At 43.7% G+C, this 22,823-nt stretch overlaps 1 protein-coding gene and 1 pseudogene across 1 annotated transcript, besides 2 other annotated features; both read left to right on the top strand.

The window, feature by feature from the left end:
- On the top strand, positions 6,503 to 6,846 carry RN7SL740P (RNA, 7SL, cytoplasmic 740, pseudogene; annotated as a pseudogene).
- Positions 9,856 to 10,465: an enhancer, noted in NCBI's record as "active region_18384". NCBI's record gives its function as "activates an Ori minimal core promoter by ATAC-STARR-seq in GM12878 lymphoblastoid cells {active_cell/tissue: GM12878}" and the evidence as "EXISTENCE:reporter gene assay evidence [ECO:0000049][PMID:35858748]".
- Positions 10,037 to 22,388, top strand: ATP5PO (ATP synthase peripheral stalk subunit OSCP). The gene is made up of 7 exons (NM_001697.3): positions 10,037 to 10,113; positions 11,341 to 11,391; positions 13,442 to 13,552; positions 16,630 to 16,759; positions 18,388 to 18,500; positions 21,820 to 21,906; positions 22,202 to 22,388. Exons 1-7 carry the CDS (start codon positions 10,078 to 10,080, stop codon positions 22,313 to 22,315), a joined length of 642 nt encoding a protein of 213 aa, NP_001688.1. The 5' UTR covers positions 10,037 to 10,077; the 3' UTR covers positions 22,316 to 22,388.
- Positions 10,980 to 12,179: an enhancer, noted in NCBI's record as "MED14-independent group 3 enhancer chr21:35285966-35287165 (GRCh37/hg19 assembly coordinates)". NCBI's record gives its function as "activates an origin of replication core promoter dependent on BRD2, BRD4, P300/CBP and CDK7 cofactors, and independent of MED14, by STARR-seq in HCT116 cells {active_cell/tissue: HCT116}" and the evidence as "EXISTENCE:reporter gene assay evidence [ECO:0000049][PMID:35650434]".
- Positions 22,389 to 22,823: the final 435 nt, after the last annotated feature.

The raw sequence follows: 22,823 nt of genomic DNA, 5'->3' as shown, positions 1-22,823 counted from the left end.
TCATAGGTGGGAATTGAACAATGAGAACACATGGACACAGGAAGGGGAATATCACACTGGGGACTGCTGTGGGGTGGGGGGAGGGGGGGAGGGATAGCATTGGGAGATATACCTAATGCTAGATGACGAGTTAGTGGGTGCAGTGTACCAGCATGGCACATGTATACATATGTAACTAAGCTGCACAATGTGCACATGTACCCTAAAACTTAAAGTATAATAAAAAAATAAAAATAAATAAAAAATAAATAAAAATTTAAAAAAAGAAGGTAATGAAACAAAGCATTAACATTCCAAAATGGAAGGCCGGGGGCGGTAGCTCACACCTGTAATCTCAGCACTTTGGGAGGCCAAGGCGGGCAGATCACTTGAGGCCAGGAGTTCGAGACCAGCCTGGCCAACATGGTGAAACCTCATCTCTACTAAAAATACAAAAAGATTAGCCGGGTGTGGTGGGGCGCATCTGTAGTTCCAAGTACTCTGGAGGCTGAGGCAGGAGAATCGCTTGAACCCAGGAAGCAGTGGTTGCAGTGAGCTGAGGTCATGCCTCTGCACTCACTCCAGCTTGGGGGACAGAGCGAAACTCCGTCTCAAAAAAAAAAAATCCATAATGAAGCATGATCCATGTTTGCATTCATCTTGCCTCTATTGAAAGACAAAATACTGCATTTAGAGGGGACTGCATCCTGGGGATGAGAGTAACAGCTCTAGTTTGTGGTGTGCCGACTCCTTGCCCACGCTGCGTTAAATGTTTTGCAGGCATTACATAATTTACATGATATATACCATCACTATCTCCATTCTCCAGGTAAGGAAATGAGGCAGGAGGTTAGGCAACTTGCCCAAGTCACACAGCTGGTGAAGGGAAGGGCTGCAATTCCAACCCAGGCCCTGGGGCTGCAGAACCTGACGCTGCCTCTGCAGGAACAACAGGATCATAACCAGACTCCAGTGACCCAGGTCCCCCAGGCCCCAAGGCTTGGCCGCAGCTGGAACTGCAGAGTGCTTCATGACATCAAAAAAGGGCACCAAGCAGGTCCAGTTTACTATTAATACATTCATTCCTCATCTCAATTTACAGTCTGTTTTGATTCAAATCAATGAACAGAAGAATGTTCTGCTGTTTATCATTTGTTCATTCCTACAGTCATTACCGTCTTCCCCAACAAGGCACCCATTTAGTGGCATAACTTCTCCCTGAACTGCCCTAGCCCCAAAAGAAAAAGGACTTTGATATCAGAGTTACGGATCTGCTCCAAGCCAGCAGCACTTTTCTGTGAAGCCCGTGGAGCAGATATGAAAACCTGGGCGAGATGACTCCAACCTGGGTTGCTATGGGAAGTCTGAGGGGCTGGGTGGGCAGGGGCTGTGGAGCTGAAACATTAGAAGGGGTTTGTTTCTAGGGTTTCTAAAGCTAGAAACTCCTAGAAGGTTTGCAGCCAGGGGACAACAAACTGTAGCTATCTGGGCCCGCAAACACCAGGAGCCTGGATTAGAGCATTTGGCAAGGGACCCTTTCATTTGCAGACCTCACAATACTCCGATTCTTTCTTGCATGTGAGCGAGAACAACACCGAGGTTTGTAGAAGGAAAGCTCTAGAACAAAATTCATCCCGATGCCAGAGGCTTCCTCACAATGTGAGGAGATGGCGCCCCCTCGTGTCGAGATGATCCTTCAGCACCTGGACCAGGCTGAGAGCGGTGACCTTGAGCACTAAGCAGGTGGTGGCTTCAAGATGGGCTTGACCTGCAGTGGGGAGAGGCCTGGGCCCCACAGTAGGTGACCAGTTCCCACGGCTTGGGGTCCTCCGTCTGTCACCTTGCAGATACAGGAGGTCTATACTGCAGACCCTCCTAAAGCAGCTTTCTCTAAAGATGCAAAAAACCACCAAGCTGTTTTTAGATGTGCTATTTGCTGTTTTTCTCTAGCAGATGCGCCAAGTCCTAAAGATAAACAGTTTAAAATGATATGGATTCAGTACCTGGAATCCCATTGTCCATTTCTATCAACACTTTTTTTGTTGAAAGCCTGATCGGTTCCAGCCCAGTGACCTCCATAGATTGGCATGACTCCCCTAAAGCCCCCTTTTTGTAAGTGCTAGAGATCCTTGCTGAAAGCTGTCAAGGGCACTTTCCCATCCTTTGGGTTTAAACAGAAAGACCAGCTACATGTAAAAGCCCATCACCCCAAGACAACAAGTGGCTCTGGTCTGCTAGAAAGGATTCATGCAGTTTTTTAAAATGAACTCAGAAAAGAAAAGAACAGAAAGACAAAATTGAAGCAGAATTCACTCCAAGATAAATAAATACTTGAACAATGCAAACATTTCTCAGGTCCTTCTGGTGTGACAAAATGTATAGGGGCCAGACATGGTGGCTCACATCTGTAGTCCAGCTCCTCTGGAGGCTGAGGCAGGAGGATGGCTTGAACCCAGGGAGGTCGAGGCTGCAAGTGAACTGTGATGGTGCCACTGCACTCCAGCCCGAGGGACACAGCAAGACCCTGACTCAAAAAAAGAAATGCACAGGGAAATTGTTATTACTATCCTTTGCTCTGAACAAATACCATCCTTATCTGCATTCTGCAGAGCTAAAGAAAATTCCCCCAGGTTGGAGGAGTCTACGTTAAAGCTAAGCTTTGGAAGGAATTTAAGAGGTAATCTGATCCAATTCCTCAGTCTTTCATGGATCTCCTTAACTTGAGGCAATTGCCTTTCATATCAGAAGCTGTGTTATCAGAAACCACAGAGGATGTATCTCCCCTTTAAGGGCCATAGTCATTAATAAGTGACAGGATCGTGTCATCCTTTTTTTTCTGATTATAGTAGTGACATATGCTCACTACTATAGTGTAGTGAGCATTTTTCACTGTGTAGAAAAACACACAGTGTGGTTTGTAATTTTTCCTCATGTCATTAAGTACTTTTTATGTCATTAAATACTTTTTGAAAATCTCTGTATCTCTTTTTTTTTTTTCAGACAGGGTCTCACTCTGTTGCTCAGACTGGAGTGCAGTGGCACAATCACAGCTCACTGCCACCTTGACCTCCTGGGTTCAAGCAATCCTCCCTCCTTAGCCTCCCAAGTAGCTGGAACTACAGGCATGATGTGCCACCATGCCTGGCTTTTTTTTTTTTTTTTTTTTTTTTGGTAGAGATGCGGTCTCACTATGTTGCCCATGCTGATCTGGAACTCCTGGGCTCAAGTGATTCTCCCTGCCTCGACCTTCCAAAGCACTGAGATTATAGGCTTATGCTTATAGTCCTGCATCCAACCCTGAAAAATCTCATTTTAGTGGCTACATAATATGCCATTTAAAAAGCCATTTTCTTATGTTCAGACATGTGTTTCTAGTTTTTTGCCGTTTTAAAGCTGAGTGTGGTGAGCATTTTCCACATTAACACTGGTCCAGATTTCTGACTAGTATAGATTGGAAGCGTTCTTTCTGGGTTAAAGGAAAAGTCACTTTTAGCCGGGTGTGGTGGCACAAGCCTGTAATCCCAGCACTTTAGGAGGTGGAGGGGGGAATATCGCTTAAGCCCAGGAGTTCAAAACCAGCCTGGGCAACATAGTAAGACCCTCATCTCTACAAAAAGATAACAGAATTAGCTGGCGGCATGGTGGTGCATCCCTATAGTCCCAGCAACTAGGGAGGCTGCGGTGGGAGGATTGCTTGAGCCTGGGAGGTTTAGGCTGTAGTGAACCATTATTTCACCCCTGCACTCCAGCCTGAGTGACAAAGTGAGACCCTGTCACACAAACAAAAATTTATTTTAAGTCACTTTTTTTTTTTGAGGTGGAGTCTCACTCTGTCGCCCAGGCGGGAGTGCAGTGGCACAATCTAGGCTCACTGCAACCTCCGCCCCGCGGGTTCAAATGATTCTCCTGTCTCAGCCTCCTGAGTAACTGGGATTACAGGCATTCACCACCATACCTGGCTAATTTTTGTATTTTTAGTAGAGATGGGGTTTCACCCTGCTGACGAGGCTGGTCTCAAACTCCTGACCTCAGGTGATCCGCCCGCCTCGGCCTCCCAAAGTGCTGGGATTACAGGTGTGAGGCTTTAAGTCACTTTTTAAGCCTTTGAGTCACTTTTTTAAGAGCATGTACAGTGAGGGTCTGATGCCACCACACTGCTCATTTCTACCACTGCATATGGTTTCTTTGTAGAGAAAATAAAACAGCGAGCAATATTTATTTTGAATTGAAGGTCAGTGTAAACAAAAACATCGAGATTAGATGTCCGAGTTTTGCCCTGTGGCCTTGGGCAAGTACCTTTGACTCCATTGGCCTCAACTACTAAAATATTAAAATAACTCATTTTTAAATGATTTGAGTTTGTGCAGAGAGAAAGCGCGATAACTGCAGAGTGCTAAGTCTCTTCACTTCTTTTTCTTTTTTTGTTTTTTTTTTTTTTTTTTTGAGACAGGGTCTCACTCTGTCACCCAGGCTGGAGCACAGTGGTGCGATCTTGGCTTACTGCAACCTCTGCCCCTCAGGGTTCAAGTGATTCTCCCACCTCAGCCTCCCAAGTAGCTGGGACCATACGCCCAGCTAATTTTTTTTTTTTTTTTTTTTGTAGATACATTGTTTCACCATGTTGCCGAGGCTGGTCTTGAACTCCTGAGTTCAAGCCCATCTGCCCACCTCAGCCTCCCAAAGTACTTAGATTGCAGGTGTGAGCCACAGCGCCCGGCCTCTTCCCTTATAGGATACAACTTTTTGTTCCTTTCCAAATGCTCTGTTCTTGCATAGCAGAGGGTGTGGCAGTGTCACAGCTGGGAAGTTTCTGCCAGTTCCCTCCACATGGGAGTTTGCACATGGCGCCCTGGCCTGACATCACAGTGATTTGCCTACAGGCACCCAGAAATCCAAGAGCAGGCAGGAGGGAGGTGTGGATGCAGTGTTATCAGGCTTCAGGGCTTCTGTGTTTCTCCCTTTGCCCACACCACTAAAATACAGGCTAGCTTCAAAATCCCATTCCAGAAACACATCCTGAATGATTCACTTATTCTTTCAACCATAGAGATGGAAAGAGATGGGACTTGGTGCAGGTGCCTGGGTTTGAGATGCAAATTGCCATTTCCTAGACAAGCTGCGTAAGCAGGATCCAAAACGTTTTCACCATCTATAAAATGGGGGAATACCAAGCCCATCTACATCTCGAGTCATCCTAAAACTCAAAATAAAAATGAAACCATATATGTGCAACCAGTTAACAAATCCTAAAATTGAAATGACCATAAACCACTATTTTGGAGATGTGCAAGTGGCTGGAAATTATTCTAGATATGAAAGAAAGTGTGTCTTAATATGTTTAGAAGATTCAGAATTGTTTAAAATGTCAAAAAGTTGGGGGCAGGGCACCAAGCGCGGCGGCTCACACCTGTAATCTCAGCACTTTGAGAGGCCGAGGTGGGTGGATCTGGAAGCCAGGAGTTTGAGATCATCCTTGGGTAAATACAAAATAAACAGAGGGTATTTCTCTGCTGCTGTGCAACCTTACAGTTTACTTATAATTAATTTTTTTTCCTTTTTTCTCCTTATAATTAATTTTCCATGCAGCTTTTCAATTTTCTCTCACCAAGTTGTGTCAGTTTTGGAAATCTATTTCAAAATTTTTCTAGATATAAAAAAAGATGCTTAGAAGATTCAGAATTGTTTAAAATGGCAAAAAAAAAAAAAGTGGGGGTTGGTGGTGCCAAGCAAGGTGGCTCACACCTATAATCCCAGCACTTTGGGAGGCCAAGGCAGGAGGATCGCTTGAGCTCAGGAGTTCGAGACCAGCTTGGGCAACATGGCAAAAACCTGTGTCTACAAAATACAAAATTAGCTGGGTGTGGCTGTGTGCACATGTAGTCCCAGCTACTCAGGAGGCTGAGGTGGGAGGATTGCTTGAGCCTGGGAGGCTGAGGCTGTACTCAGCCATGACTGTGCCACTGCACTTTAGCCTGGGCAACAGAGTGAGGCCCTATCTCAAAAAATAAGCAAATAAATAAAATAAAATGGCAAAAAAAAAAACAAAAAGCAGAAACCATCTGAATTATATTCAGAGTCTAGAGTTTCCCAAGTATAGTTGACCCTAGAACTTTTTATTTGTATTACATCTGTTAACACCCACACTTCAGAAAACACAGGTTTTGCAGTTTAATTTCTCATAGAATATAAAGTTTATAAAGGTAGGCACTGTGTCTTGTATCCTGTTGTAGCCTCAGTGAATAGAACAGCTGGCTACATGTAATAGCTGCTCAATAAATTGTGTTAAATAATGTGTTGAATACTTTTCATTAGGCTTATTTGAAAATAGTCTCTGAAAGTTTGCAGAGTAGAGTGAAACAAGGGTTTTCATGTGCTGCTACGGAAAGTATAAATTGGTTAAAATTTTGAAAAGCAGCTTGGCCTCATGCATCAGAGGCTCTTAGAGTACTCATATTCTCTCACCAAGTTGTGTAAATTCTGGAAATCTATTCGGAAATTTTCCTAAATATGAAAAAAAAAAATGACTGGGCATGGTGGTGTGCACCTGTAGTCCCAACTACTTGGGAGGCTGAGGTAGAAGGATTGCTTTAGTCCAGGAGCTCTCAGCTGTAGTGCACCATGCCGGTCAGGTGTCCACACTAAATTAAGCATCAATATGGTGACCTCCCAGGAGCAGGGGACCACAAGGTTGCCTAAGGAGAGGTGAACCAGCCAAGTCAGAAACAGAGTAGGTCCAAACTACCATTTTTAGGCCGGGCATGGTAGCTCATGCCTGTAATCCCAGCACTTTGGGAGGCCAAGGTGGGCAGATCACCTGAGGTCAGGAGTTCAAGACCAGCCTGGCCAATATGGCGAAACCCCATCTCTACTAAAAATACAAAAACTAGCTGGGTGTGGTGGCATGCACCTGTAATCCCAGCTACTCTAGAGGCTGAGATAGGAGAATAGCTTGAAACCAGGAGGCAGAGGTTGCAGTGAGTCAAGATTGGGCCACTGCACTCCAGCCTCAAAGACAGAGCGAGACTCCATCCCAAAAAATAAATAAATAAATAAATATAAAAATAAAATAAAACTCCCATGCTGATCATTAGTGGGAATCATGCCTGTGAATAGCCACTGTACTCCAGGGCAAAAGAGCCAACACCATTTCTTTTTTTTTTAAAAAAAAAAAAAGAAGGCTGGGCACAGTGGCTCATGCCTGTAATCTCAGCACTTTGGGAGGCCAAGGCGGGTGGATCACCTGAGGTCAGGAGTTCAAGACCAACCTGGCCAATATGGTGAAACCCTGTCTCTACTAAAAATACAAAAAAATTATCTGGGAATGGTGTCACATGCTTGTAATCCCAGCTACTTGGGAGGCTGAGGCAGGAGAGTCGCTTGAACAACAAGAGCGAAACTCCATCTCAAAAAAAAAAAAAAAGAAAGAAGAGAAATATATGTCTAAATATGCTTAGAAGATTCAGTATTGTTTAAAATAGCAAAAAGAAAAAAGGAAATCATCTGAATTATGTTCAAAAATCATAGAATAATTAAGTTGCAGAATATTCACTTGATGGACTACCCTGCAGCCATTAAAATGATACTTAGAAACTTTTATAATTTGGAAATATGCTTATATTATAAGCATGAATGCATAACTCATATGTAATTTTGCATCCTTTTCTTTCTTGCATTAAAGAAAATGGCAAAATACCAAACTGTATAAAGATTGTTAATCTGCATGTATAATAAAAGCAAACAAAATAAAGAGCTAACATAACCGGGTGTGGTGGCGTGCACTTGTAGTCCCAGCTACTTGGGAAGCTGAGGTGGGAAGACTGCTTGAGCCCAGGAGTTGGAGACAAGTCTGAGCAACATAGTGAGACCCTCATCTCTAAAATAAAAAAAAATGTTGTATTAGCCAGGCTTGGTAGCATGTGTCTGTAGGCCCAGCTACTGGGGAGGCTAAGGTGGAAGGATTGCTTGAGCCTAGGAGGTCAAGGTTGCAGTGAGTCGTGATCACACAACTGCACTCCAGCCTGGTGACAGAGCAAGGCATTGTCTCAAAAAAAAAAAAAAAAGACTAAATTAATAAGCACCACTCTCTCAGGCAATTGTTCTAAGCACTTTACATGTATACCTTTTTGTTTCTTCTAATGACCTATAGGCAGATACTATTATAATACCCATTTTATAGATAATAAACTGAAGCACAGAGAAGTTATATAATTGGGCCAAGGAACTGATTGGGATTCAGGCCAGGGTAGTTCAGGCCACAGCCTAAACAAATATTGAGAAACAAGACACCAAAATATTTACAACAATTGCCTCCGAGTGGAAGAAAAGAGGACAATTACTTTCTTTATCTTTCTCTACGTTTTAAAAAGTTTTTAGGGGGTTGGGTGTGGTGGCTCACACCTCTAAGCTTTGGGAGGCTGAGGCAGGCGGATCGCTTGAGGTCAGGAGTTCAAGACCAGCCTGGCCAACATGGCAAAACCCCATCTCTACTAAAAAGAGAAAAATTAGCCGGGTGTGGTTGTGTACACCTGCAGTCCCAGCTACTCGGGAGGCTGAGGCAGGAGAACCGCTTGAACTCAGGAGGCAGAGGTTGTAGTGAGCTGAGATCACGCCACTGCACTCCAGCCTGGGTGACAAAGCGAGACTCTGTCTCAAAAAATAAAAATTGTAATAATGAGAAAACTGCTCTCTAAAAGGGCAAAATAGTGAATTAACGTGTTTCTATAATAAATCTGAGCAGAGAATTTTTCTTTTAAGTTGATTACAGAACCCCCACTATTACAACCAGGAATACTGACCCTTGCTCTGCCAGCCAGTCTCTTCTCTGACAGAGGAGAAAATTCGACCAAGTTCTATTTAGAGAGAATGGGTTGAAGATAGGTTGTTTTTATGGATGCAGACAAACTATATCCAAGGCTAGTACCCAGTTCTCAGTTTCAATATCAAATTTGCTCAAACCCGGGTTCTCCTATTTTAGGCCTGATGCTCAGATAGCCACTCTGCCCTAGCCAGAATCAAGAATCTAGGTACCAGAATCCCATATGCCCTCACAAACCAACAGCTCAGTTCTATACTCAGGTGAGATGGGGGAGAGGGGAGGGGAATGGAGGGCCACAGGGATTCTTTGCTTTTGCTTGGCCAAACTTTAGTGAGACTTCTGAACCTTCTCGTAGTCCTATCTATGCACCTCCTTGTAAAGTCCAGTTTTAGCAAAACTGCTAAGTCAGTTTAGCCAGAACCCCCAATCTTCGACAACCGATCATCTTTGATATCTGATCAGGGTCTTCATCCTTCACCATCCCCCAGGTGATGTCTGATCACCCTGGCCTGTCTTCTACAAGATTCCTCTAGGTCATTTTAGCCAGAATCCCTCTTACCCCAGTTTCCTCTAAGTAATTTTCTATCCACTGACCCCCGCACTGCTCCTTGGCCATAAATTCCCATTTGCCCATTCTGCTTTCGGAGTTGAGCCCAATCTCTCTGCCCACTCCCAGACCCTGTTGCACTGGTCCTATACCCATCGCTATGGTCCTGAATAAAGTCTTCCTTATCATGCTTTAATAAGCATCACTGAATAATTCTTTATTTAACAATGGGTAGTCATGGCCCAGGTAAGAGAGACGTGGTGTCCGCTCCTGGAGCTGCAAGGCTCCTGGGGGCTTTTTGTTTTGTTTTGGTTTTGTCTTTGTATGCAACGTGAGAAAAAGCCATTGATGCAGGCTTTAGCATGCTGGGAAGGAAGTGTAAAGAAGCCAGTGACGCTGGTAATAACTGTGAAATGGAACAAATGCCACCATATTTATCTAAATGTAAATTTTAAAACTGGGGACAGCAAATCCATTCTACAGTGAGCGCCGCTTGGCCAGTAACAATGACTTCATTTTCAGATGCAGTCGAAGCCCTGTGGCTCCACCCCGAGGGTCCAGCCCTTACCACTGCTAAGAACTACAACTCCCAGCCCGAGGGAGGTCTCTGCGCCTGCGGCCTGACGCCCTACGCCTACACTTCCCAGAGAACCTAGCGGTTACGCCAACGCGCGCGTGCGCCCTTGCGCGTTTCTCTCTTCCCACTCGGGTTTGACCTACAGCCGCCCGGGAGAAGATGGCTGCCCCAGCAGTGTCCGGGCTCTCCCGGCAGGTGAGAGAAAGGTGGTCCTGAGAGCCAGTGGGAGGATCCCTCCTGGGATGACCGGTACCAAACCTCGAGCACCAGGGTGCGATGCTTCGGCTGGGGAAGTCTGGCAGTCTTCAAGGTTATGGGACCTGGCGAGTGGGAGCGACTCAGGACGACCCAGCGTTTGTCCCCCGGGATGCCTACGGGGCAGTAGGCGCGGGGCTGCGCGTGCCGTAACCTTGGCGTCTTCCGAGCACAGCCCCTGGAAGCTGCTAGCCTGAGGGGCGCAGGAGAGGGGGTCTGCCCTTCGCTGAATTCCGGGGAAGGGGCATGGACTAGCCCCCAAATCAGCTTCCTTTGCCATTGTGGTAAAACCTGTCAGAGATCACTTACTAGTAATGCTAAGGAATATTTGTAAAACACATTTCACAGTTTTATAAATAAAATGAGGCCGAAAAGTTTAAATGAGTCTTTGGCTGCTCAGTCAGTAAGTGGTAGAATTGAGATTTGAACCCACGGAATCACCCAGAAGATCGAGTTTGAAAAAATGTTATGCTGTTTGTGCTGCATCTCACCATGGTGCTTTACATATCATGACCCCTTCCTGGCATCTTAGGTAATTTTTTCATAAGCATTAAAAAGTCTTAATCCTCACAAGCAGTTTTGATAAAACACGTTCCATAGCTGGAGTATTTGAAGGTGACCTGTGATCTGTGACCTGTGCGCTTGCAGGTGATTTTTAAACTGTGTATTCCAGCTCTGTCTTTTGATGGGCAGGATAGTGTCTCTCAGAACTAAGGCTTCTTGTCAGATCAAACTCTGCGGCAGTACTCAAAAAATTCATCTTTATTTTCAGATAGCATTTGCATTCCGAGGAGGGTACGTCTGTTGCAAATGATCTGCTCAAGGGTCTGTTAATAGAAACGCCAAAATTTTGGTTAAATATTTTTGAAACATGCACTCCTTGGAAGTTAGTGTTTTTCTGTCTTACGGGTATGCTAGCCTCGGTCCATTCCTAGCAAACTAGGAGGTTCGTGGGAAGGTGATTTCCCAAGCAACTTGGCATAATCCTCATTGGGTAAGTTTACCCCTTAGTAATAGTAAGTAGCTCACCCTCATGTAATATGTGAATATACAAAGAGACAAAAGTAATGATTTTAAGGTTATTTAAAATTTTTTGTTGTTATTGAGTTAAATGCAGAAATCCTTCAAGTAATTTTGTTTGATCTATTTTCCTTTATTGCTTTGAAGGTGCGATGCTTCAGTACCTCTGTGGTCAGACCATTTGCCAAGCTTGTGAGGGTATGTTAATTTATATTCTTCTGTAATGATAAAGTACGCGAAAGTGTGAGTCAAACAGCAGTACAGTCAGGGCGTGGATTTTTGTGTAGTTACTATCTAAACCTTTTTGCGTGACTTGTGGTTCCCAAAATGTGCTGTGTGCATAGGGTGGGGAAAGGAATGGTGTTGAGTATTTGCTTTTTGACAGGCCCATGCATAATCTTTAAATATGAAAACTTTTTAATCATTTGTTTTTCCATTAACCCTCTAAAATAGGCAAGCTAGCATTTACTTACTTTTTTTTTTTAATGAAAGAAACAGGTTTAACAAAGTGACATGCCCAAGTTATCACAGGAAGTTATTACAGGAGACGATATTAAAATCAAGGTACCGGGCTGGGCGCGGTGGCTCACGCCTGTAGTCCCAGCACTTTGGGAGGCCGAGGTGGGCAGATCACGAGGTCAGGAGTTTGAGACCAGCCTGGCCGACATGATGAAACCCCATCTCTACTAAGCATACAAAGATTAGCCAGGCATAGTGGCGCATGCCTATAATCCCAGCCACTCGGGAGGCTGAGGTAGGAGAATTGCTTGAGCCCGGGAGGCGGAGGTTGTAGTGAGCAGAGATCATGCCACTGCACTCCAGCCTGGGCAATAGACCAAGACTCTGTCTCGAAAAAAAAAAAATATCAAGGTACCTGGGTTTCTAATGCAGTTCTCCATGTTCCATTCTGGTGAGAAATATTCATACTCTTCACACCCTTTCTTTCCAGTAGGCACCAAGGAGGCTCACTATTTCAGGGAGTTGCCAGTCCCTTTCTTTTCAAACCAGAAGTAATCCAGTTGACCCCGGATAAAGAGGACTATTAGTGACACATAATAAATGAAGTTCCCCAGAAGGCCCCCTGAAATGATACATGGCTAACAGCTGGAAACAACCCTGTTGGAACATGAAGTCTGATTCCATTTCTATGGGTTATTTTGAAATTCTTTATTTGATTAAAGAAAGTTCCTGTGTGATAGAGAATTGGTTCAACTGTCAAGGAGCAGGAACTTTTCTAAGATGTGCTGGGCAGACTATACTACCCACGCTTTTCCCCACCAAATCAACAGTGAGCCAGTCCGCCCCTTGGAAAAATCGTGTAAAGGAAAGATGATCATACCAGGTCTGTGTCCTTAATGAGCCCACGTCAGGTGGAATTTAGGAAGATAATTATCCTGTCCCGTCCTCATTACCAGCCCTAAATCTCAAATCAAATGATCAAAATCATTTCGTCCTTCATGTGAGACCTTAAAACTTCATAACAGTGTTAAGGAGTAACTGGTCTTCCCATTTTACAAAAGGGGAAACTGAGGCCCTGGGAAAATTTACCTGAGGTTACTCAGCTTAGTCCTAGAGCTGGACTGGAACTAAATCTTTCTCATCCAAGCCTGAGCTTTCCCACTACAACCATACAGCACCACTAAGAACATGTAGTCATACATTGATGGTAGAAAAAAAGTCTATAGTTTATTGTGAAAAATAATTCAAGCATCAGGTTTTTTTGTAAACTGCCAAAGGGCTCTGTTACACTGAACATCGATAGGGAGGCTATGTAAGGGAAAATGTGTAGTGTTAGTATGAAATGTATAAAAGTATACTTGTGTGTTTCATAAACACCTGTTTTCCTAGCTCTAACATACTCGAAACTGTCTATCAGTGTTCACAACCTCCCATACTTGAAACTAAATAGTTACTGAGTTCAAAGGAAACATAAGCTTATCTCAAAATTAAAGTACAAGTAATTGATAAAGGTATGTAAACCTGGAAGGGACTTTAGACAATGCCTACTAAGCCCCTCATTTTACAGATGAGGAATTGGAGGCTCAAAGATTGAGTGACCTGACCAAGGAAACATCGCTAATTTATTTGCAAATTGCCATTTAGGACAGCTCTTGAATGACATATTTAAACTGTTTTGTGTTAAAGAGATACATTTTTTAAAATATAAATTTTAAATTCTGCTCTTGAGAGTATACTATTAACTGATTTTCCTTTTTCTTTCCTCTCCTATTTCACCTTTTTTTTAAAGCCTCCTGTTCAGGTATACGGTATTGAAGGTCGCTATGCCACAGCTCTTTATTCTGCTGCATCAAAACAGAATAAGCTGGAGCAAGTAGAAAAGGAGTTGTTGAGAGTAGCAGTAAGTAGCTTTCCTATTCATTACATATGAAGTTCCTGTTTGTATATTTTTTCCTTTGGTTGTTTGTGCATTCCTAATGAGGTGTATCCTACAAGAAAAAACTGGGAAAAAGCCATTGTCTGTAAACACATTTTTAGTAATAATATTGGGTTTTTATTATAAGACATATAAAAAGAACAAACAGATACATATAAGGATATTAATATTAGGAACCAAGATTAGGGGCTAAGAAAAGGTAGAAATATAAGATTAAAATGGATGGTAATTTAGGAAAATTGCTATTTCAGAAGAGAATTTAAAAGCTACCTTTAAAAATCTATGCTTATAACTGGGCACAGTGCTCACGCCTGTAATCCCAGTACTTTGGGAGGCTGAGGCAGGCAGATCAGGAGGTCATGAGTTCAAGACCAGCCTAGCTGACATAGTGAAACCCCATCTCTACTAAAAAATACAAAAAATTAGCGGGACGTGGTAGTGAACACCTGTAATCCCAGCTACTCCGGAGGCTGAGGCAGAATTGCTTGAACCTGGGAAGCCGAGGTTGCAGTGAGCCGAGATCGCGCCATTGCACTCCAGCCCCGGACGGTACGAGACTCCGTCTCAAAAAAAAAAAAAAAAAAAAAAAACCTATGCTTATGGGCTAGGTGTTTAGAATATATTGTGATTTGGTTTTACTGAGAATTTGTTTTCATGAAACCTTTTCCTCAGGTTTTAATTGCCATATTCTATGCTTGTAGAATCAGAGGAGGCTCAGATATGTCTTACAGGTTGTTTTCATTTGGTAGAGATGCCTTTGCAATTGCCAGAACCCCAGAAGTAACCATGTAGACCTTTTCATTGTTTTGGTAAACCTCTTAATTATTTTGTTCCCAAAATGTGAGGGAAGAATAACAGGGTGGGGCGCGCTGGGCAGCAGAGTTAGTAAAGGGGCATGGGCTTCCCAGTAGTAGTAGAGGACTGACAGGCAAAGACTGTGAGGCTGCTGCAAGATGTTTTTTACTTTTTTTTTTAAACATGAAAAGCAGAATAAATAAACCGTATTACCAGAAGCCTACATTGTAACTGAATAGGAGAATGTCTGCTTTCGTTTTCACCGAATTTTCTAGTTAACAAGTTTCTACACATTCTGTTGCTTCCTTCGATTTTCTAGCGCCACCACTGGCAGTAAGGTCTGCATTAAAAAAGGTGAGGGAGACGCAGTCTGGTATATAGCCTCTTCAGAGGAAGTTTGGTTTTTTCTTCATTTTAAGATTCTTCATTCTTTAATTCACATATCTGCAAGTTTTTATTGTTTAGAAAAAACAATTCATAGGCCAGTTGTATAGAGTAATAATACTTACGTTCTATATTAATCATCGTATGTATAGTCTATAAGTATTACTGTTCTGTACTGTTTATGTTTTATTCATTTTTCACTTGAGCTTCTATTGGAACTTCCGTCTTAACAGGCAGAATAATTTTAGCTCCATATTCCTTCCTTGATCCATTTATCTCTGCAGATAATGCTTAAGGTCTTAGCTGGTGTGATAAACTCTTATGATTCTCTCAGAGCCCAGGAGCCCAGCCCTGTTGTTGGAGACATTTGGGGGAAGGGCATGCAGGAACAGACGGGGTCTCACACAGGCATTTTTGGAGGTGATGGTTATTGTCTGCTACTTGTCAGTTATGCCCATTTTAAACGGAAACAATCATGTTTACAATGGAGAGAATTACTTGGATTGTGGATATTAGAATAGAGTTTGTCTAAAGCCTGGAAGTCAGTCGAGACATGGAGAAAAAGGGAGGCAATTACCTTAAGACACTGAATATTAGCAGGGTTTTGGCACTAAGAGGGAAGGATGATACAAGGATACGCACTGTCCTCTGGATGATGCAGGAGACACAGATAAACATGAAAAACTAGGTAACCCAAATTCCAGAATGCTTTAAATCTGTATATTCCTGCATTTTTTATGGAAAAATGTCATTTCTGTGGGGTCACTCAAGTGGAAATGTTAGCATTGGATGATAGTATCTGACCAGTATCCTGGATCAGAGGCAGGATTCTGGCCAGGAGCCTGGGAGGAGGTGCTAGGAGCGTAATTGAAAAGCATAGAGAGGTGTGTTAACTGAAGGTGCTCAACTGGAAACTGCTGTTCGTTTGTTGGAACTCTGGAGCAACATGCTGGAAGCTGCACTTGGTCACTGAATTCAGACACTGTGATACAACAAAATGAGAAGAACGTTGTTTCCCATGATGGTTGTGCTCCTGTTTTATTGTCCACTCTGTCTCCCAGACTCTTTGGGGCCGCTCTGGCAGCACCAGAGGCCTCACAGAATCTGCTGGGTTCCCTGGACTCTGTAAGAGGCAGGGCCCCTCCAAGGGAGCGGTGCGGAGGCCTCTGTGGTCAGAGCACAGTTGTGAGGTCTGCACTCTAGAAATAGCACTGCTAGAAAACCAGACGACTCCTCTCTTAAATATATTAAAGTATGCAGTCTAATGAAGGTTTGGCTGTTTAGTGTTTTATAATCTTTCTTGAAAAGCAAAAACAAATTTAAGAAAGTTCGTACAGTATTTTTAAATTTTTTTGAGGAACATCATTCTATATAAAATCCTGGTGCAGTGCACAGTGTATTCTGAAAGGCAGTCAGAAAATTGTTTGATTATAATCTTTTTTTCATATGTTCTTCGGCAGTGCTAATTTAATTCATAAAATATTTAATTCATAAGAAAGTGTTTGTATGGCCGGGCACAGTGGCTCATGCCTGTAATCGCAGCACTTTGGGAGGCCGAGGTGGGTGGATCACTCGAGGTCAGGAGTTTAAGACCAGCCTGGTCAACATGGCGAAACCCCGTTTCTACTAAAAATACAAAAATTAGCGGGACATGGTGGTGCAGCTATTCGGGAGGCTGAGGCAGGATAATCGCTTGAACCCGGGATGTGGAGGTTGTGTGAGCCAAGATTGCGCCACTGCACTCCAGCCTGAGCGACGGAGCAAGACGTTGTCTCCAAAAAAGAAAGAAAGAAAGTGTGTGCATGGCACATCCTTCATTTGTGCTCTAAAAAATTTAAGAAATTATTTTTTGATGCTTTCAGCAAATCCTGAAGGAACCCAAAGTGGCTGCTTCTGTTTTGAATCCCTATGTGAAGCGTTCCATTAAAGTGAAAAGCCTAAATGACATCACAGCAAAAGAGAGGTTCTCTCCCCTCACTACCAATCTGATCAGTGAGTATTAGAACTTTTTCATTTGAGGTGTCTTGAAACTATGACTGGAAATGTGGTCCATGGACTGTGGGCGGCATCAGCATCACCTGGGAGCCTGTTGGCAGTGAAGAATCTCAGGCCTCACAGCAACCTGCTGAATCAGAGTCTGTATCTTAACCAGCTCCCTAAGTGAATCGTTTGCACATTGAAGTGTGAGGAGCATCGTCTAAAGGATACTAGGACCTAAGCATGTCTAATTGTATAGTCAGTAGTTTCAACTGTGGAGGCGGCCAGTGTGATACCTACCAAGAAAATGGTTCGTGGCCTGTGGCTATACCTTGATCCTTGGATACATTTGCATTCTTGGGTACATTTGGACTGCTTTTCTCTTTTTGAGACAGAGTCTTACTCTGTCACTCAGGCTGGAGTGCAGTGGCACGATCTCAGCTCACTGCAGCCTCAACCTCCCAGACTCAGGTGATCCTCCCACCTCAGCCTCCCTAGTAGCTGGGAATACAGGTGCATGCCACCACACCCAGCTAATTTTTTGTATTTTTTGTAGAGATGGGGTTTCTCCATGTTGCCCAGCCTGGTCTTGAACTCCTGGGCTCAAGCCATCTGCCTGCTTTGGCTTCCCAAAGTGTTGGGGTTACAGGCATGAGCCACCATGCAGCCTGGATTGCTTTTCAGATCCTCATAGCCAGCTCAAAATAAAAGTTGCAGAGAAAGTGTGTTCATGATATCATCTTTGAATTTGTAGCCAAACATACAATCTGTAACATAAATATGAAAATCAGATTGCAAGCTGAGAACCCCCCATACCTACTAATTTAAATCCTTGTCAGTGCAGTCTATTTAAAAAAAAAAAAATTGGATATGCGTTTTAAATAACAAGTTGTATCTTCTCCATTCTTTTTTTTTTTTTTTTTTTTTGAGCCTGGGTGTCCCTTTCTGTCACCCAAGCTGGAGTGCAGTGGCACAGTCTCAGCTCACTGCAACCTCTGCCTCCTGGGCTTAAGTGATCCTTCTGCCTCAGCCTCCTGAGTAGCTGGAACTGCGCGCATGCGCCACTAATTTTTGAGTGCCCAGCTAATTTTTTAGTTTTTTTTTTGTGAGGCAGGGTTTCACCATGTTACCCAGGGTTTCACCCATGTTACTCCTGGACGCAAGCTGTCTGCCCATCTCGGCCATCCAAAGTGCTGGGATTACAGGCATGAGCCACTGCACTTGGCCTCCATTCACATTGTTAAAGAACATTGAATATACTGTGATTTTAAGAGACAAGATCTTGCTCTGTCGCCCAGGCTGGGGTGCAGTAGGACAGTCATAGCACACTGCAGCCTTAAACTCCTAGGCTCAAGCAATCTTCCTGCCTCAGCCTCCTGAGTAGCTGGGACTATAGACATGCACCACCAAGCCCTAACGTTTTTTTGTAGAGATGGGATCTCACTATTTTGGCTGGTCTTGAACTCATGGCCCCAAGCAATCTTTGCACCTCAGCCTCCAGTAGTTGGGATTATAGGCATGCGCCCCTGTATATGGTGTTTTAAGGCCACAAATCTAAGTTTGTTTTTTGGGTTGAGTATACAACTTCATGAATAACTTGTTCAGGTGAGTTTCTTGTTACTGAGACACCTTCACTCTGGCAGATTTGCTTGCTGAAAATGGTCGATTAAGCAATACCCAAGGAGTCGTTTCTGCCTTTTCTACCATGATGAGTGTCCATCGCGGAGAGGTACCTTGCACAGTGACCTCTGCATCTGTAAGTAACGGGTTGTTGCTGCTGTGTTTGCCTTGATATTACATGTGTCACCTTTTGCAGGAAGAAAAGGGAAAAACAGGGTAAAATCAAGAAATTGGGAAAGGTAACTTGTCACCTGGGATGTTTGTTTCATTTTTATATCAGCTTCTGTGACCCTTTGCTTTGGAAAAGCCAGCGTGTATCTTATTAGTGCTTCTGTAACCAGTGATTATTCATAAGGCCTGGGTTAAATGTAAAGTACATCAAAATGTGTTGGAAAAGAGTGGTTTAGACTCTATTATATGTTTGAATTATTTTATGAATACCACTTGAAGTAGTTTCCTGAAACTAGAATTCTAGAGTTTATTTTTTTGAGACAGAGTCTCACTTTGTCACCCAGGCTAGAGTGCAGTGACACAGTCACACCTCTGTAGCCTCAACCTCCTGGGCTCAGGTGATCCTCCTGCCTCAGCTTCCTGAGTAGCTGGGATTACAGTGCACCCCCACCACACCCGGCTAATTTTTGTGTGTTTTTTATAGTGATGGAGGTTTTACTGTGTTCTCCAGGCTTGTCTCGAACTTCTGGGCTCAAGTGACCCACCTGCCTTGGCCTCCTAAAGTGCTGGGAATAAAGGTGTAAGCTACCACACCTGGCCTGAAACTAGAGTTACTAACCTTTCATCTTTGGTGGTGGTGAGTGGGAAGGAGTAGAGCCGTTGGGCCTTTGTATCTTTTTGACTTGATAGTGGGCTATAATTGGCTACCGTTTATTGAACCCTACTATATGCTGGGTGCTTTATTATGTTATTCAGTATCAAAAGATTCATGTGAGATAGAAGTATAATTAACCTCATTTTACAGATGAGGAAACCGAATGCAGGGAGATGAAGTCGCTTGCCCAAAGTCATACGAGGTGGGACTAGAATTTGAACACAGGCCTCAAGGCCTCTTAGAAGTCCATTTTCCTTAGACTACACTACATTGCCTCCCTAGAATTAATTTTGTTGTTGTCTTCAATATGTATTTTCTTCCCTATGTAACTCAGTCAAATGTAGTGTAGCTTACCCTACAGGAAAACAGGGGAGTGTGGTAGATTGACTTGGAATTCGTAGCACCTGACCTCATCTAGATTAATAGATGTAGCATTTAAAGGACAGTCTAACCTTCTAGTTAGCACAGATTCAAGGAGAGGCATCCTAGCACATCATACTTACTTGCACGTTTGTAGTTCAGTAGTTGGTGCCCCCAAAACATGTGCCTGGCTGCAAATCATTACAGCTCAGACATAGGCAGGGAGCCCTCTGTGGCTGCATCAGTTATCCCTAACAGTGTGGCACAGATTAGACATTCACCTGCCCCACGGTCACCCATCATGAAGCACTGGTGCAGGCCATTCTTCAGTGAACACAAGGACATGATTTTCTTTTTTTTTTTTTTTTTTTTCTTTTTTGAGACTGAGTCTCACTCTGTCACCCAGGCTGGAGTGCAGTGGCACGATCTTAGCTCACTGCAACTTCCGCCTCCCAGGTTCAAGCAATTCTCCTGCCTCAGCCTCCCAAGTAGCTGGACTACAGCACCTGCCACCACACCCGGCTAATTTAGTGTATTTTTAGTAGAGATGGAGTTTCACCATGTTGGCCAGGCTGGTCTCGAACTCCTGACTTCAGCCAATCCACCCACCTTGGCCTCCCAATGTGCTGGGACCACAGGTGTGAGCCACCGTGCACAGCCACAAGGCCATGATTTTCTTTTAAAGGATGCTTGTTTTTGCAAAAGATTTTAGAACCAACTGTTACTAATGCTTTTGATGTTGATACTGTTGGGTGCGTGAGTCTGTACTGTTTGAAAAACGTTATGTCTTGATGAGTGACTAAGAGCACAGGCTTTAGAAATACACAGACTGGTTTCAAATATTGGGGCTGGTCCTCACCTGCTGATGTGGCCTTAGGTGAGTTTCTTACCCACCCTGAGCCTCCGTTCCCTCATATGTAAAATGGGCATAATGACCGGTGGCCTTTCAGGGTTGCCCACATGAAGGGAGATAGTAGGCATGAAATGTGCCTGGCATAGACAGGTACCTGGCAGTTGGTACATGTCTCAGTGGAGGGTATGTATATTTCAGAATTCTGTAACCTTTTAGTCTCAGTAAATCATGTTTTGAACACGAATAGATTCTGGCCACCACCAGCACCCCCCACCCCCAAAAAAAGGATATTGTTATATCTTTACAAAGACATAAATTTTTCTGCCAAATTTTTTTAGGCTCTTAGAGGAGGGGCCAGGGAGGTAGGATTTATGACAAGTTAAAAAAAGGCCTTTTTAGCAGGGTGTGGTGGCTCACACTTGTAACCCCAGCATTTTGGGAGACTGCAGCGGGTGGATCACTCAAGGCCAGGAGTTCGAGACCAGTCTGACCAGCATGGTGAAACCCCGTCTCTACTAAAAATACAAAAATTAGCCGGGTGTGATGGCATGCGCCTGTAATTCCAGCTACTTGGGAAGCTGAGGCAGGAGAATCACTTGAACCTGGGAGGCGGAGGCTACAGTAAGCCGAGATCTCGCCACTCTACTCCAGCCTGGGTGACAGAGCGAGACTCGGTCTCAAAAAAAAGGCCTTTGGTTTAACAGCCTTCTTCATTTTCACCATTAGAACACTTAACACTATAACATAACTAACCAGGAGTAAGAGTTGGGGCCGAGAGGAGAGTGCAGTCTGGACATTTGAGGTGCTTGCTCTAAAGTAGGTTATGGAGCTGAGCTGACTTCAGGAAAAGCCAACTGCTCCAGGTTCTCTCACTGGGGTTCAGAGAGTGGAGTGGCCTGCCAGAGCTCCAGGTAGCTGTGGATGCGGGGAGATGAACAGCCAGCAGAGCTAGGCAAACATGAAGATGTAAAACCAGGTTAAAATGGCAACTTTTCAGCCAAGGACATGATAGATGCATGTCGTGTCCCCAGGGCTGCACCCAGGAGAGGCCTGTGTCCTCCTGCATTGATGGGGCTGCATCTTCAGGCATTAGAAACTTGAAGGCCTTTCCTTGTTAGTTCCAAGTTGTACTGCTAGCACACAGAGCAGAGGCAGGGAGGGAGTGGCATTTACAGGCCGTCCTTGAACGGCTGAGTGGGAGCTGCCCGGGTGATGCTGTGAGGCAGGGCCTTCCTGTGCTCCCTGAACCTCCAGCGTGAACAAGGAGTGAATGCTGCAGAGCAGCTCCATGATGGGCCCAGGTAGCAAAGGGAGGAGCTCACAAGGCCTGTCTTGGTGATGTGGGCCTGGGGTATTTTAACTCTGGAAGTTTCTGTTTTGCTTTATCTAAATTGAAAGGATGGTTTTGCCTTTCAGCCTTTAGAAGAAGCCACACTCTCTGAATTAAAAACTGTCCTCAAGAGCTTCCTAAGTCAAGGCCAAGTATTGAAATTGGAGGCTAAGGTAGGTTTTAAATTATTTATGGTACGTTTTCTCGGGTTATTTTAAGCTTAAAATGGCTACAGAAAGTACTAGTGAAATATTAGATCTAACTCTATACTAATTTTTCTGTAGTTAAAATTTTGTATTTATTTTAAATTTAAATGATTATCTGACTGTGCAGTTTTACTTTTGCCTTTTTCTAGGTGTAATTATAACCTCTTACATTTGTGCAACACATTTAGCCTTTCAAAACACTTTTTTGTGTGTCCCATTTGATTAGCGCGTTTTCACATTTCCAGTCTTACTTCTTTTGTAGACTGATCCGTCAATCTTGGGTGGAATGATTGTGCGCATTGGCGAGAAATATGTTGACATGTCTGTCAAGACCAAGATTCAGAAGCTGGGCAGGGCTATGCGGGAGATTGTCTAAAAGTGTTGGTTTTCTGCCATCAGTGAAAATTCTTAAACTTGGAGCAACAATAAAAAGCTTCCAGAACAGATCATATTATGTTCACTGTCTTTTAAACTGGAATGTAGAAGGCTTTATTTTTATGTCCTTTTTTGGTATCCCCTGAGTATAAAGGCCAAAAAGCCCTTTTGGCCTAGAGAATTTGGTTTGAGTAGATTATGTTTAGGAATTAATTGGTTAGACACAGCACCTAACACATGGTCACTCAGCAAAGTCTATCTGGTCCTGCCTGCCAAAATCCCGTGTCTTTAAGGGTTTGTTCAGAGTTCCTGGTCCCTACTAGATCATCGGATCTGTGTTTGATCCATAGCCCTCCAGGGAGGCCTCTTGCCCTTGATCCTAACATGAACACACCTAGTTGTAGGCTGCTCTGTAGCTTTCAAGGCCATTTCATGTACATCTGAAGCTGCATGACAGCCTTGTCACACGGGTGGGAGAGACATCACCCCACTTTACAAATGAGGAAAGA

Source organism: Homo sapiens, chromosome 21, assembly GCF_000001405.40.
Source record: "Homo sapiens chromosome 21, GRCh38.p14 Primary Assembly".
Lineage (NCBI taxonomy): Eukaryota > Metazoa > Chordata > Mammalia > Primates > Hominidae > Homo > Homo sapiens.
This window is presented reverse-complemented; position numbering and strand designations above follow the sequence as displayed.

Bases quoted from the DNA above. Each gene is read 5' to 3' on its own strand.
- ATP5PO (NM_001697.3), top strand. From the start codon at position 10,078: ATGGCTGCCCCAGCAGTGTCCGGGCTCTCCCGGCAG. The intron at 11,392-13,441 runs GTATGTTAATTT...TTTTTTTTAAAG, and splicing joins CATTTGCCAAGCTTGTGAGG to CCTCCTGTTCAGGTATACGG. The intron at 18,501-21,819 runs GTAAGTAACGGG...TTTGCCTTTCAG, and splicing joins GCACAGTGACCTCTGCATCT to CCTTTAGAAGAAGCCACACT.